The following is a 17,776-nucleotide window of genomic DNA, read 5'->3' on the forward strand; positions in this document are numbered from 1 at the left end:
CTAATAGACATTTAAAGAACATTTCATCCAGTGTCTGTGGAATACATATTCTTTTCCTTAGCACATGGATCATTCCCAAGGATAAACCATATGTTAGGTTATAAAACAAATCTTAACACATTCACAAAAATTGAAATAATATCAAGCATCTTCTCTGACCACAATGGAACAAAGCTACAAATCAGTAACAAAAGGAATTTAGAGAACTATACAAACACATGGAAATTAAACAATATGCTCCTAAATGACCAGTGGGTCAATGAAGAAATTAAAAAAGAAATTGAAAGAGTTCTGGAAACAAATGATAATGGAAATACAACATACCAAAACCTACAGGATACAGCGAAAGTAGCAGTAAGAGGGAAAATTACAGCTCTAAGTGCCTAAATCAAAAAAGAAGAAAAACTTCAAACAAATACTGTAATGACGCATTTTAAAGAAATGAAAAATAAAGAAAAAACCATACCCAAAATTAGGAGAAGGAAAGAAATAAAGATCAGAGCAGAAATAAATGAATTTGGAATAAAACAATAAAAAAGATAGATGAAACAAAAAGTTGGTTTTTTAAAAAGAAAAAATTGACAAACCTTTAGCCAGACTAAGAAAAAGACAGAACCCAAATAAATAAAATAAAAGATGAAAATGGAAACATTACAACTGATACCACAGAAATTCAAAGGATCATTAGTGGCTACTATGAACAACTAATTATATGCCAACAAATTGGAAAATATAAAAGAAATGGATAAATTCATAGACACATACAACCTACCAAACTTGAACCATGAAGAAATCCAAATCCTGAACAGACCAGTAATAAGTAACGAGTAACAAGATCAAAACTGTAATTAAAAGCCTCCCAATAAAGGAAAGCCCAGGACCTACTGCTGATCCACTGCCGAATTCTATCAAACATTTAATGAAGAACTAATATCAGTCCTACTCAAACTGCTCCAAAATACGGAGGAGGAGGAAATAGTTCTAGTTTCATTCTATAAGACCCTGATACCAAAACCAAAGACACATTTAAAAAAAAAAAAAAAAACACTACAGGCCAATATTCATGAATATTCATACAAAAACCCCTACCATATATTAGCAAACCAAATTCAACATCAGAAAGATCATTCATTATGACCAAGTGGGATTTATCCCTGAGATGCAAGGGATGGTTCATTTGATTTGTATTTGTTGAACCATCCCTTGCACCTCAGGGATAAATCCCACTTGGTCATAATGAATGATCTTTCTAATCAATCGTTGTAATACATCATATCAAGAGAATGAAGGATGAAAACCACATGATCATTTCAATTGATGCTGAAAAAGCATTTGATAATGTTCAACATCCTTTCAAGATAAAAACCCTCAAAAAACTGAGTATAGAAGGAATATACCTCAATGTAATAAAAGCCATATATGTGAGGTCCACAGCTAGTATCACATTGAATGGTGAAAAACTGAAAGCCTTTCTTCTTAGTTCTGGAGCAAGACAAGGATGCTCACTTTCAACACTGCTATTCAACATGAAAGTCCTAGCTGGGGCAATCAGACAAGACAAAGAAAGAAAGGGCATATAAACTGGAAAGGAAAAAGTCAAACTACCTTTGTTTGCAATGATATAATTTTATATTTGGAAAAACTTAAAGACTCCACCAAAAAACTATTATAACTGACAAGCAAATTCAGTAAAGTTGCAGGATACAAAATCAACATACAAAAAATCAGTAGCATTTCTATATGCCAACAGTGAACAATCAGAAAAATAAATTTAAAAAAGTAAGCCCATTTACAATAGCCCCAAATAAAATTAAATAACTAGGAATTAACTTAACCAAAAAAGTGAAAGATCACTGCAATGAAAACTATAAAATACTGATGAATGAGGAAGACACCAAAAAAATGAAGAAATATTCCATGTTCATGGATTGGAAGAGTCAATATTGTTAAAATGTCCATACTACTCAAAGCAACCTACAGATTCAATGCAATCCCTATCGAAATAGCAATGACAATCTTCACACACACACACACACACACACACACACACACACACAAAACACACACCTAAAGTGTATACAGAATCCCAAAGACCCAGAATACCAAAGCTATCCTGAGCAAAAAGAACAAAACTGGAGGAATCATATTACCTGACTTTAAATTCTATTACAGAGCTATAGTAACTAAAACAGCATGGTACTGGCATAAAAACAGACACACGGACCAATGGAACAGAATAGAGAACCCACAAACAAATCTACACACCTATGGTAAACTCATTCTTGACAAAGGTGCCAAGAACATGCATTGAGGAAAAGACGGCTTCTTCAATAAACAGTGCCAGGGAAACTGGATATCCATATGTAGAAGAATGAATCTAGACCCCTATCTCTTGCCACATACAAAAATCAAATCAAAATGAATTGAAGACCTAAGATCAAAGACCTCATACTATGAAACGACTTCAAGAAAACATTGGAGAAATTCTCCAGGACATTGGTCTGGATAAAGCTTCTTAAGTAATACCTTAGAAGTACAGGCAACCAAAGCAAAAAATGACAAATGGGATTACATCAAGCTAAAAAGCTTCTGCACAGTAAAGGGAACAGTCAACACAATTAGGAGACAAGGCACAGAATGGGAGAAAATATTTGCAAACTACCATATGACAAGTGATTAATAACCAAAATATATAAGGAGCTCAAACAACTCTACAGAAAAAAGCCTAATAACCATATTAAAAAGTGGGCCAAAGATTGGTATAAACATTTCTTAAAATAGACATACAAATGACAGACAAATGAAAAGGTGCTCAACATCACTGATCATCGGAGAAATGCAAATCAAAACTGAGATTATCATTTCACTCTGATTAAAAGGGCTTTTATCTAAAAGTCAGGCAACAACAAATGCTGGTGAAGATGTGGAGAAAAGGGAACCCTTGTACACTGTTGGTGGGAATGTAAATTAGTACAACCACTACAGAGAATAGTTTGGAGGTTCCTCAAAAAACTAAAAATAGAGCTACTATATGATCTAGCAATCCCACTATTTGGCACATACTCAAAAGAAAGGAGATCCATATATCAAAGAGATATCTGCACTCCCATGTTTGTTGCAGCACTGTTTACAACAGCCAAGATTTGGAAACAACCTAAGTGTCCATCAACAGATGAATGGATAAAGAAAATGTGGTACATATATACAATGGAGTACTATTCAGCCATAAGAAGAGTAAGATTCTGTCATTTGCAACAGCATGGATAGAACTGGAGGTCATTATGCTAAGTGAAATAAACTAGGCACAGAAAGACAAACATCACATGTTCTGACTTATTTGTAGGATCTAAAAATCAAAACAATTGAACTCGTGGAAACAGAGAATTGAAGGATGGTTACTAGAGGCTGGGAAGGGTAGTGAGGCAGTGGGAGGCAGGTAAGGATGGTTACTAGGTACAAAAAAAAAAAAAAAATGAGTAAGACCCAGTATTTGAAAGCACAACAGGTGAACTATAGTCAATAATAATTTCGTTGTACATTTTAAAATAACTGGCTGGGCAAGGTGGCACATGCCTGTAATCCCAACACTTTGGGAGGCTGAGGCGAGTGGATCACTTGAGGTTAGGAGTTTGAGAACAGCCTGGTCAACATGGTGAAATCCCATCTCTACTAAAAATGCAAAAAATGAGCCGGGTGTGGTGGCAAGCACCTGTTGTCCCAGCTACTCGGGAGGCTGAGGCAGGAGACGGAATTTCTTGAACCCGGGTAGTGGAGGTTGCAGGGAGTTGAGATCGCGCCACTGCACTCCAGCCTGGTAACAGAGTGAAACTCTGTCTCAAAAGTAAATAATTAAATTAAATTAAGTAACTAAAAGAATATAATTGGACTGTTTGTAACACAAAGTATATAAATGCTTGACAGAAGAGATACCGAATTTGCCATGATGTGATTATTATGCATTGCATGCCTATACCAAAATATGTACTCCATCTATACAGCTACTACGTACCCACGAAAATTAAAAATAATTTTTAAAAGTGTTCCAAGGAACATTTCTTTTGAGCTCAAAGTTTCAAATTTTGAAAGCTTTCAGATTTTGGATTTTCAGATTAGGGAGGGATACTCAACCTGTAGAGTAATTTCCCTCTAATTACCTCAATTTTTATCAAATGTATACTTTCAAAATGTATACTTTGGTGAAATATAAAAGGAAAAATATATAATTGGGTTTAAAATGTATATTGTAAAGTTGAAAAGTTACCTACTGGGTACAACATTCACAATTTGGGTGATGGCTACACTAAAAGCCTAGACTTCACCACAATGCAATATATGCATGTCAGAAAACTGCACTTGCACCCTCTAAATATATTTTTTAAAATTAAAAGCATCTCGTTTATATTTTTAATATTAAATTATATATCCTCAAAACATTGAAAAATACAAAGAATAAAGCCTATGGGAACTAAAGTACCTGATAGTTCCTTTAACATTTCCTTATAGGATTTTCCTATCCTTATTATCATTTTAACCTATTTAATTTGGTTATTCTAGTACTTCCATATTCTTTAAACATTATTGATAAAAAGTAACAGAATAATTTAAGACTCTGATTAATATATAGTATTATATGATTATTTACCAATTCTCATTACTCATTGTATTAGTCCGTTCTCACATTGCTATAAAGAACTACCTGAGACTGGGTAATTTATAAAGAAAAGAGGTTTAATTGGCTCACGATTCCACCAACTGTACAGGAAGCATGGTTAGGGACACCTCAGGAAACTTATAATTGTCGCAGAAGGCAAGGGGGAAGCCAGCACGTTATATGTTGCTGGAGCAGGAAGAAGAGAGTGAAGTGGGAGGTGCTACAGATTTTTAAACACCCAGATCTCGTGAGAACTCTATCCCAAGACAGTACTACGAGGATGGTGCTAAACCATTAGACACTACCCCGATGATCCAATCACTTCCCACCAGGCCACACCGCCGACACTCGGGATCACAATTCAACATGAGATTTGGGTAGAGACAGACAGCCAAACCACATCATTCATATTATTTTCATAATCCAAAAGAATGTTGCTTTTTACAACAAAATGCCATGGCAATATTTTGCTAAGCCCAGCTTATATGCAGGTATGTTTCCCTGTCCCCTCAACCACCTCCAATCTAGGCCTATTTGTCCTCAATGCTTGTTATTCTGTGTTGGATGGATTAGGTTCCCTGAATGCACTAACTGCAGTACTCGATACTGTTTCCCAAGGAACCTTTTGCTCTAGTCAGTATTAACAACATGGCCCTTATTTACAGTCTACTGTCAAACACAAGGCCTTCTGAATTATCCTAAACTGGTCTGCTGGTCTCAATTTCTACAAATCCATCTTCTACACTGTTTCTAAAGTGATCTCACTCTAATACCCAAGTCAATATATGTCATTCCTCTAATTAACATCCTTTAAGATTCTACAGGACTAATAAATGTATTTTTCAAAGCATTCTGGTATGAGTTCCTAGGAATCTGGAAAGGTGCCACTAGGGCCACTACAGAAGATAAGGCAGCTAGCCATGCAGGAATCTGCTGCTACTTTAACCAGAGCAATTCTACTTGTTCCCAACCTCTATATGTATATGAACATATAAAATTGTTTTAAAAAGTTGTTTTGCTATTTTTTTTTTATGAAAGGTACAATTATTGGTTGGTATTGGGAAAAGACTCTAATTAATGTAATTCTACATATAAAGCACTTCATGACCTGATCCCTACCAACTTGTTAACTTTATCTCATGCTTCTGAATTGTTCATAGTTCTTAAAACACTACAATTTTATGCTACTTTAGGCTTTGTCCAACATACACATTTTATTCCATGTAGTGCCCTCATCTAGAATGCCCACCTTCTCATCTTATTTCATTAACAACTGTTAATGCCCTTCAGGTCTCGGTTTAATTACAATACGTCTGAGAAACCTTCCCTGACTTGTAAATGTCCCTTGCTTATAACTCAATTATAACGCATAGGTATATTAACATTATTCATCTGCACATTTGTTTTATCACTAGATCTGCCAAACTTGGCTGAACAGATTTCTAGGCCAGACTAATAACAACTACAGTAGACTATCTGGTATGTAATGACTAAGTCCCAATTCTTTTTCCTCCTACCTTTGTTTCAAGAACAAACATTTATTATTAAATTAATAAAATAATTTCTCCAAGAAGATAATAATTGACCAATAAGCTTTTAGGAAGAGACAGCTCTTAATTCACACAAAGTTATTTCCTTAAATGGAATTGATATACTTATTAGAAGAGCTGAACTGAATTTCTAAATAGCTTAATTTAAAATATTTTATAAAATAAAAAAGTTTCTGGTAACAACTTGCGGTAACATAAGACCAGAACAAAACACTATTTTTAAATTTTTAATTGTCCGAAGACAACGTAGAAGAAAGGTGCCATCGTTTGGTTACCAAGCTTTTAGCTTGTTTTTGGACTGCATTTTCAATAATTATCAGGAAATTTAACTACAATATTTAGATTATGATAAGCTTGACATAGACCTTATATAAAACATTATAACTTTTAAGGTCTTTAAACAACAATCTTTTGAACTTCACGAACTTCACTTCAGACTTTTTTTTTAATGTACAAAAAGGCTATCCTTTTCAGAAACACAAAACTTTTATTACTTACTACTGCCCTCTAGTGAATTTCCAGAAAAAAAAATCAGAAAACTAAAGAGATTGTATAGTTTAAAATGCTTCTATTAATAGGTTGGCCCTAATTGTCTCCAAATTTATTTTGACTTCCAAGAATAAATCACCAACTGTATTTGAAAACTAAAATGTTTTAAAATAATATATACAAACTACATTCCTAATAACTTCTTTTACCGCTCAGTTTAGAAGGGCACGTTTTCTTTACATATCTCTCTCCTTTATCTGGAATGCTGGTTTCCAACTCTGCAGGCCTTAGATTATTGTAAAGGGTCAACACTAAATACTACCTGTAGACTTAATAAATGTCTTCCACATATTTGTGAAATCTATTATTCAAAGATGTACATGTTATTATGATTAATGAAACAACACAGGTACTCAAGACTTTCCTTTTAAGTATTCACTGAGTCTAAGACGTATATATTTTCTTACATTTAATATCAGTGAAATTTGGATGCATCTAAAAATTGAAGGCATCATATAATTGAAGGCTAGGCAGAAGCCATGACATAGTTGTCGCTACATGCACATTCACAAATTTGGTCACAGCAAGTTACATTACAGTCACTTCAGTTGAATTACATGCATTCTTGGTACAATTATTGAGTTTAATTGCCACTTATGTCTTAAAAGATAATATGATTTGACATTAAAGCAAAAAGTTAATGTGTAAGTCAGGAGAAAGAGAATGAAGATGCATCGGTAGTAAAGAAAATATTCATTAGAATAATGGGCATAATTCTGTATTTTCTTAAAAAGCAACAGTCAAGTGCTTCATAAGCTTAAGAAAGGAAGATATCCAAAAGAGAAGCATTTTTCTGCTTAGGTATATGCAAAAGGATTCCCTTCTATATGGCAAGACAAGAAACAACAGCAAAACATCTTAAATTTACAGGATAGGTGTGTTGGCAGCTTCGAAGAAAATCCCAGAGATAAGAATAGAACACACAAGAAAAGCTGCACATCAATTCTCTTGATAGCATAAAAGACAATACACTTTTTTAGCTTCTGTGTATGAGCGAAAACATGTGAAACTTGTCTTTCTGAGTCCAGCTTATTTCACCTAACACAGTGACTACAACTAATGACTAAAAGAGTAGAGGCCGTTAAGGGTAGGGAGTAGGGAGGGGAGATGAAGAGAGGCTTGATTAATGGGTACAAAAGTACAGTTAAATAGACAAAATACAACCTAGTGTTCAATAGATCAGTAGGGTGACTACAGTCAACAATAATCTATTGTATATTTCCAAATAGCTAGAAGAGAATAATTCAGATATTCCTGGCATAAAGATAAATGTTTAAGGTGATGGATATTCCAATTACCCTGATTTGATCATTACACATTATATGAACACCTCAGACTATCACATGTACCTGGAAAATGTGTATACCTATTATGTATCAATAAAAATAAAAGACAATACAGTTGGTTCCCATGTCACAATGGTTCAACTTAGGATTTTCATACTTTGTGATGGTATGAGACCATTCTTTTTTACTTTCAGTACAGTAGTCAATAAATTACATAAGAAAATATTTGATATTTTATTGTAAAATAGGCTTGGTGTTAGATAATTTTGTGCAACTGTAAGCTAATGTAAGTGTTCTGAGCAAGTTTAAGATAAGCTAAACTAAGCTATTATGTTCAGATAGGCTAAACTAAGCTATGATATTCAGTAGTTTAGGTGTATTAAATGCATTTTCAAACTGAAAATATTTTCAACTTACGATGGATTTAACAGAATGTAACTCCACTGTAAGTCAAAAACCATCTGTGTCGTATAGTAAAACATGAACATCAATAACCAATTCAAAAAGTGATATAGAATTCTCACACTCCAAATATAAAGTTTTAGGAACGCCTTTCATTTCATATTTTCCTTGTTATGAATGCAGACAAATCCAACAAATCTCACTCACTAAATATAAAACAAAGATTATAAATGATTAAGAAAAACTTGTCAGATTTTTCCTTATAGTGACACATAAAGTAACGGTGCACCTTACAATCGGTAGCATATATTCAGTGAAATATGCTATCACATAGGCTGAGAAATTTGACTTTTAAAGGGAATTTCTTTCTCTAAATATTATTGAGAACCACTGCTGTGATTCATAAGGTGTTGTAACATGAACTGAATGTTTGTTTTCCCCTAAAATTCGTATGTTGAAATCTAATCCCCAGTGTGATATTTGTAGGTGGAGTTTTCAAGAGATAACTGAGTCATGAGGGTGAATCCCTTATAAATAAGATTAATGCCCTTATAAGAAGGGTCACAATAGAGCTTGCTTCCTCTCTCTCCCTGCTCTTTATCATATGAGCATAGAATGAGAAGACAGCCAACTGCAAATCAAGGAAGAGGGCCCTCACCAGACACCAGACACCTTGATGTTGTACTTCCCAGTCTCTAGAACCATGAGAAATAAATGTTTGTTGTTTGAGCCACCCAGTCTATGGTACATCTGTTATACTGACCTGAACTAAGACATGGAGGCAAACCAACATTTGATGGGTACAAGAAGAAAATATTAAATGTTTTATTTCTATATTTGAATCTTTATCACTTTAATGTTCTTTAACCTATTAGTTTATATTTTACATTAAATGTACAAAGATTAGCATAATAATATGTAAATATGTATTTATAATCATAAATATCCTGGTGGACATATTTAAAGTTTTATGGATAGAGGTATATAGTAAACAATTTAGCAGTCACTGCTTCTATAGGCAGTTCACTGGTCCATACGATACATTTTGCTGAAGACATCATTATTCAACATTTCCCCACTTGGTGGCACCAAAAAATTAGAATATCTACATATATATCCGTGCCTGTTAAGTTTTACTTTTTTAAATTTAGTAAGTATCAATTCCCTTTCAATGTAAGCTTAAAATAATAGGCAAACTAATATGCTGTTTGACCTCCTTCTCCTAAAGCTCACTGTCCAATTATTTGGCATTGATTAATACAGGGTACAGTAGTCAGAATCAGTAAAATTTAAATAATCAACTAGTTTCAAAAATAAACAATAATACATAACTAAGAAATTCACACTTGACTGACACATAAGATAAAAAAATTTCTCTAGCCTCAATACAAAAAAAAAATTCAGTTACAAATTCCATAACAAACATGATTTTTACATTTCATATTATATTTAGGGTCAAAGTACTCAAGTATTAATTTCCCACTCTGGGTACTTTAATTAAGATTAAACCTATTCTAGTCCTCATGCATATTTTCTATACCCTCTTTCAAGGTGCCACAAGGAAAGTCCAGTTCTCAACCTTTTCCAAGGTAAGTTAGGAGAAAACTTTGTATCCCAACTACAAGCAAATATGATAATTATACTATTTAACTACCTATCTACAATAAAACCACATATCTATAAATTGTTGGTTTTCACTGAATTTTTACTAAAATTTCGGTAAGTATTATTGGCTCATTTTTACAGATGGGGAAGCTTGGGATCAGGTAATAGATTTTAAACAAACTCAACATTCATGACCAGAGCTCAGCTATACACACCATGATGCCCCTCTTGAACAGGGTATCATCTACCTTCCTCTTCCCCTCCCTCTATACACCACAGGTATTAAAACTGGCCAAATCATGGCTTGGCAGCAAAACCTGAGCTTTGAGTACTTGTAGTGCTATTCGAATGATATTATCTCTCTATCCACACTCCCCCAACCCCAACTAACCACCATTCAATTATGAATGCCTTTTTGACTTACCTTTGAATAAGAAACATTCTCACTGATCATGATACAACTGCTTTTTGCATTTGGTTTATTTTCACTGAGAGAGGAAAGAGGTGGGAACTATAGTTTGAACCATATGAAACTGTGAATATTCAACTGTTTAAGCTAATAGTGACTATTAAGTGGCCAGTAGATTCCAAGACTTGGTGGATTATTTAATTAAATCCTCACTACTTTATTACTTAAATATCATACCACTATAAAGATGAAGAAATTTAGATGGGAAAGTAGGTCAGGAGGCCCATGGACTTGAGATCCACATTTCAGCCTCTCCACACCAATTATTATAATTTTATTGTTTATGCTGCTTAAAGAAAACCAATAACTGCTAGGAAGTTGGATCTTAGTGGGCTGTTACATCGGAATCTCTCCCTTGGCCTTAGGCCTTAAGTGGCCCCTCTCTACCTATTTAGCAACTCTTCTATGTGTTCCTGGTTCCCACCCTCAATCCCATTATAAGGTCCTCTGGTTGTTTTATCAATATCCTTCAGCCCAGCCCTCTATACAGTAAATCATCACATAACGTCATCAATGGATTCTTGGAAACTGGGACTTTAAGTGAAAGGATGTATAACAAAACCAATTTTTTTTTTTTTTTGAGACGGAGTCTTGCTCTTGTCTCCCAGGCTGGAGTGAAATGGCGCAATCTCGGCTCACTGCAACCTCTGCCTGCCGAATTCAAGCGATTCTCCTGCCTCAGTCTCCCGAGTACCTGCGATTACAGGAGCCCACCACTAAGCCCGGCTAATTTTTGTATTTTCAGTAGAGATGGGGTTTTACCATGTTAGCCAGGCTGGTCTCAAACTCCTGACCTCAGGTGACCCGCCCACCTCGGTCTCCGAAAGGGCTGGGATTACAGGCGTGAGCCATTGTGCCTGGCAACAAAACCAATTTTACTACAGACTAATTGACGTAAACAAAAGCTAACTTCCTATTGCATATTTCTGGTCACAAGAACATCACCAAACTTCTAAATAAAGATTCAAAGCACTTCTAATATTAAATACTGAAATAAATGTAAGCTCTACATACATTTAGGAAAGATTAATAAAAACAAAATACTCAACTTTTGGTGAATTAGTGAGTGACGATGGTTGTGGTCATAGTGGGTTAAATTAAGGAATAAATGTTTGCAAAGTGAAAATTATAAAGAGCTCCTCCTACCACCACACAGTTCAAAAACAAAAACAAAGAAACAACAGTGTTGGGCTAGCTGAACGCTTTTGTATTGCAATTATTGTTATGCACTTGTATGTAGTATACTTCATGAATTTTTATTTTACAATAATTTGCATTCATTTGCTCATTCATTTTCCAAGCCACTTATTCTTAGTTCAGGGTCACGGGTGGCTGGAGCCTATCCCACTAGCTCAGGTTGCAAGGCAGGAACCAACACTGGACAGGATGCCATTCCAACTGCAGGGTGCACTCACACATACCTACACTAACTCCTACTGGCACAATTTCAGACATACCAATTCACCTAATACGCACATCTTGGGAATGTGGGAGGAAACCAGAGTACCCAGAGAAAACCCACGCAGACATGGAAACAACATGCAAACTCCACACAGTGGCCCTAGCCAGAAACTGTTCTTTTTTCACATCAACATTATAGGAAAACAACATAAAAAAAAAAAAAAAGATGTTATTTGAGGACCTGCTGTATTCTAGAAAAGTGAAGTTCTTTTAAGGATAGCTTAACCAATTCAGTATGAATACTATGTCAGTTTAATTGATTTAAATAATTTTCAAAGTTTCCATTTAAATATAAAATATTAGTTTAAAATGTTTCTTTCCAATAATATCATTCCTACAAAGAAGCTCTCTTTCAAATAGTTTTAGTAACATCTTATTTTCTCCACTCCCACTCGCTACCCTCATAGCTTATTTAATTCGGAGCCACCAGAGTGATACTGTTAAAATGTTTGTCAGAGCCCATGCCTTTTCCATTTAAAAACTTCCAGGGGCTTCAAAACTCAATCAGTATAAACTTCAAAACCCTAACTGTGGACTATAAAGCTCACATGACATGGCCTCTTGCTACCTCTCAATGAAACTTTTACTACTCCCCCTTGTCAACTGAATTCCAGCCACAATGGCTTTGCCTCCTTGCTAGTATCTGAATATAGCATGTATGTGCCCACCTCAGGATCCTCACACTTACTCTTCTGTCATGGCTTACTTTCACTTCATTCAGGTCTCTGTTCAGATGTTAGAAACTATTCCTGATCTTTACAGTAGTCTCAGCCTCTACTACTGTCTATCTACTTATGCTGCCTTATTTTTCCTCATAGTATCTACCAATTGACCACTGGGAGACACATCTCCACGCATCTTTCATTTCTGCATATTTTGCAAGCCAGGAGCTAATTGACCCCCCCTCCGCCGACCCACCACTTTTTTTTTCTGTACTATCTTTTCAAAGATCTTTGTATAGCAAATAGTCTTGGTAGATGCAGAAAATATCTTTCCCTGGAGCAAAGGACAGGCATGCTTACCATCCATTATAAAAGATTCAGCTTCCCTAAGCTCAGGGTTCCTCTTCTACAATACACTCTATTATGTGCAGGTCTCATCTAGTTCTCTCCCCATTGCCCTAAGGGAACTGGGACTCCGGGAACCAACACACAAAAAAGTTGATCCTATGGCTACTGCTATTGCTGTGAGTAGAAGTCTTACATCTTCAGTTGTCATCCACAAAACTGGCAGGTTACAAGTAGGGTAAATATCCTAGGTCCTTCATAGTTCTTGACATTGACATTACATACTGAATTTCTCTCTATTTTTTTCTCCTGACTTATGTTTCATTGATTGCTATATCCTCATTTCTCTAAAGGTTTCAAAGCACTTTTACAAATAGTATCATTTGACCTTCAAAAATCCCTGTGGAACATTTTCTATTTCCATTTAATAGGGAAGACACTGATCCAGAAAGGTTAAAGGACAAACCCAAGATTAGCATAGCAGATCAGTCACAGAATAATAGCAGTTAAAATCCAGGTCTAATTCCTAATTTGTTATTAACTTGTGACTACTTCTTAAAAGACAACTACTATGCTGTACATTCTGTGAGATAGAAGGATAATCACCCAATGATATTAGATGACAAGTTCCTTATGTGGTATCACATAAAAACACAAAAATTTCAATGAATAATAAAACTGAGTACCCAAGTAAGCACCTGTAAGATATTGAAATGTATGTCTTTTGGGGTTCTTTTATTATACATTATGGCACGTGAATGATCATGTGACAAAACTAAATTCTGCTCTTACGATAATAGCCATTTCCTTTATGTCTAAAGGAAGACATCTTAAGAAAATACCCAAAAATGTTTCCTTTGTAACCAGAATTTTCATCTTTGCAAGAATTAAGAGTGCTTCAACATAAACTTCATTAATCTGAAAGGTTCCAGATAATATTAATGCTGCTTATACAACTCTCAAGATAGGTAATAAAGAAGCATTTATTACTAGCTTTTTATCTACAATGTGAGCAAAAGACTCAAAGAGAAGTCTGTATACAACTTGGTCAGTCATTTATAATTCACACCTTACCACTTCCAGGAAGACTGAGGGGAAAAAAGTCTGGGAGTATAAGAACAGATTTCATATAAAAGAGAAGTATCAAGTTATATAAAATATCTGATTTTAAAAGCCCTATATCCCCAAGTAGAGTAAATCTGCAAAACCAGTAATAGATATGGTCTATGGTTCAGAGTTCTAATATGCTTATAAATCTATTAATATGCTTATATTATATATTATATGCTTATATTATAAATCTATTAATATGCTTATAAATCTATAGGCATATAGATTTATAAGCATATCAGGTATTATAAATCTATTATATAGATTTATAAGCATAGATTATTATAACAGTATATAACCACCTTCAAGGTTCATAAGTTATAAAATTTCTGATTATGAAATTGCACAAATACAGCTAAAATGATGATGGCTAAGTAGTTAAAATTTTACCCTTAAGTAAAGAAAACTGAAGAAAAATTGAAAAAGAATCAAAATATTATAAAGGAAAACAGAATAAAGTTTAATAAATTACTAAGGTAAAAAAATTGTTTTATAAGGCAATTTTAACTCAATTATCCCCATTTCACTTACTGTGTAAGTTATAGCTGCCAACATTCCAATCAAGGTCAGAGAACTGATAGAAAATGACAATGCAGCTAAACCATCTGTGAAGAAAGAAAAACTGTTAAAAATGTACATATATACTACTCAAATCCTTATATTTAGCAAATCAACATAGAAAGCTGAGCTGCTTACACATTTTGAAGAAATAAAAACCAATATGTATTACCGTATTCTTGAAGTGCTAACTCCAAGTGGAGAAAAGAGTTTCTAAAGGACTCTTTAAAAATTGATTTGTAAAAAATCTTTCTGACTAGCTGAGATTTTCTTTCCTTCACGTCTTAAAATTAAGAGGAAAATTACTGGCTAATTATTGGGCCCAAAAAGAGATCAGCAAAATATCAGATGCTCAAAAGGTGATTAAAAAGATCACATGGCCTTTCTCAATGGCAGACCCTGAGAAATAACATTTCATAGGAAAGCCACTGACCTTGACTCTTTCTCCCTTCTCCCCTCAGTCTTGAGACTTCCAGTTTCTTTGTTCTTAATTTTCAAATTGGTTCTTAATAGATAATCAAAAACTAAAATCTTAATTAAAGATTTATTTCACTTTTTAACTTGAAAGGACAAGCTTGCCTACTTGGCAGAAAAATAAAAGCAAACACAACGAGAAAATAGGTTTAAAAATACACACACACACACACACACACACACACACAAAATACTATGCTAACGCATTGGATTTAGGAAATTATCTAAAGGAAGGTCAAAGAGTGAGGGGCAGGAATGACACTTTCACATAAATATATCAAATTATGTAATAAAATACTATGCAAATTTGAATATTCTTAGGAGCAACACTTTTTCCAGTTTTAATACAGGTCCTATTAGGCCTGTATTGAGCGAGTTTAAATGCAAGTCCTGTGGAATCAAATACAAAGTTTTGATTAATTTAATGTATTGACATTAATCTTTTATGAGTACTAATAAAATTATAATGATCTATCATCTTAAAACTCATGTCTCAGTTTTGTATAACACATAAAGAAGGCATATTATTAACAAATTCACAATCACGCAAGGCAAATTTTTAAGCCTTAATTTTTTAAAACTACTTTTTATCAAATCAAAGACATTTTGATGCTGTTACTTTACTGATCATACCAGAAGTATCATGAGAAGGTGTTTATACAACTAGGAGGGGTCTGACATCTGGCTGATAATTTTAAGGTACTATCACTTGTAAAATGTATCTCCAAAACAGCGATGTAAAAATCTGAAAAATTATGTGTCTTAGAAATGGTAAAATAGACATGCTGACATATTTGGCCAATCGAAATGTTAATATTACTAATAGTCAAAATCATCTGAACCAAATAACTCAAAATTGATCATTATTAATTATTCCCATTTGGGTAAAAGATGAATAAATGTGTGCTGAAGATACCTGAAGATGCATTCTCTTTATATATTAGGGGGTCTATGATCTGGCTGCATATATCTTTATGATATAATAAATAAATCCTATTGTAAACAAGTTGTAGTATAGTCATAAAATGCATTACTCTGCTGCAATAAAAAGGAACTACTAATACAAATGAATTTCACAACATTATTTCATGAAAGATGCCAGGTATACACAAAAAAGAATCATTAATAAATGGAATCAGAATTCTACTTACAATATTCAAAAAAAGTAAAACTAATATAACTAATATATAGTGGCAGAAATTATAACAATGGTGCCTCTCATGGGAGATGATATTAACTGAATGGAATACTGCGAAAAAATTGCTGGAGTGATGGATGTGTTCTACACCTTGACTGCAATCAGTTACAATGACTATATACATGTATCATAAGATCTACACATTTTACTACATATAAAGCATTTTTTTTAAAAAAGGTTATATAGGCCGGGTGCAGTGGCTCATGCCTGTAATCCCAGCACTTTGGGAGGCCAAGGTGGGCGGATCACAAGGTCAGGAGTTCGAGACCAGCCTGGCCAATATGTTGAAACTCCATCTCTACTAAAAATACAAAAATTAGCTAAGCGTGGTGGCGGGTGCCTGTAGTCCCAGCTACTCAGGAGGCTGAGGCAAGAGAATCGCTTGAACCCGGAAGGCAGGGGTTGCAGTGAGCCACGATCATGCCACTGCACTCTAGCCGGGGTGACAGAGCAAGACTCCGTCTCAATCAATCAATCAATCAATCAATAAAAAGGTCATATACCCTTGATGCCTGAAAAATGCAATGCAAGGAGGTGGGATGAGAGACGAAAGGACTAAAAATTAAGAATAGTTGGGTAACTGTTTTGGACTTAGACAGCTCATCTAGAGTGATAAGTAACATGTATTCTAGAATATGGTGTTTAACACTGGGAGACAAAAAAAATAAAGACTAAAGAGAATGGAATTACAAAAAACAGAATAATGCTACCTATCTAATCACCAATTCAAGTTATACTAATACTCAAAGTATAACTTATGAAATAATGTTTAGGGTAGAAGAGTAGTTACTCAAGATATCTAAAGGAGTTAACTCCAAGAAAAGAAGCCATTAATTTATCAGCAATAGAATCAAGGTACATAAATCTGACAATTCAGTATTAGTAGATGCGAGGCCTGCTACCCTTATTCTTGCTGGTATCAGCAAGATATTAATGAATCACAATTTACAACATGAGATCTTAAGTGGAAAGCAAGAAAATTAAGAACTCATACAGCAGACTGCAAGACTTAATTTAATCATCGTTTAGTATTGTACCTGGGTAAAAAGAAAGAAGTGCTGATTAAAGAATGTACAGTACCTATTAGAATAGTCAAAAAAGCAATTTTTCTGCATAGTATTTATAGAATTAAGTACACTAGGTATCTTTGAAAATAAGGTTACTATGTTCAAATGCACAAGGAATTTTGAGTAATATGATACACAATATTTTAATATCACTTTCTAATGCCAGTTATTTTTTCAATGATTAAGCAATTTTCTTAACCTAATCCGTGAGCCTTTTTTTTCTGTAAAAACCTAGGTCACACAGAGTAAGTTAAGAAAAACTTCTAGAAAAGCAATGCCAAAATATTTTGATGAGGTAAATTTATAATAAAACATTTAATTCATATAAAACCTCTAATTTACATTTTATATAAAAGATGATTTAATCTCAAACAAAAACATAAGGTTCT

The 17,776-nt window shown here is 34.1% G+C and overlaps 1 protein-coding gene across 4 annotated transcripts in view; it reads right to left on the minus strand.

The window, feature by feature from the left end:
* Positions 1-17,776, minus strand: part of LMBRD1 (LMBR1 domain containing 1) — a 123,001-nt gene that overhangs the window by 49,311 nt on the left and 55,914 nt on the right. For all 4 annotated transcript variants that reach the window (NM_018368.4, NM_001367272.1, NM_001367271.1 and 1 more), the window contains exon 7: positions 14,622-14,695. In NM_018368.4, the coding sequence (NP_060838.3) occupies positions 14,622-14,695 (74 nt within the window). The remainder of the gene's footprint in view (positions 1-14,621; positions 14,696-17,776) is intronic.

This window comes from Homo sapiens, chromosome 6, assembly GCF_000001405.40.
Source record: "Homo sapiens chromosome 6, GRCh38.p14 Primary Assembly".
Taxonomy (NCBI): Eukaryota; Metazoa; Chordata; class Mammalia; order Primates; family Hominidae; genus Homo; species Homo sapiens.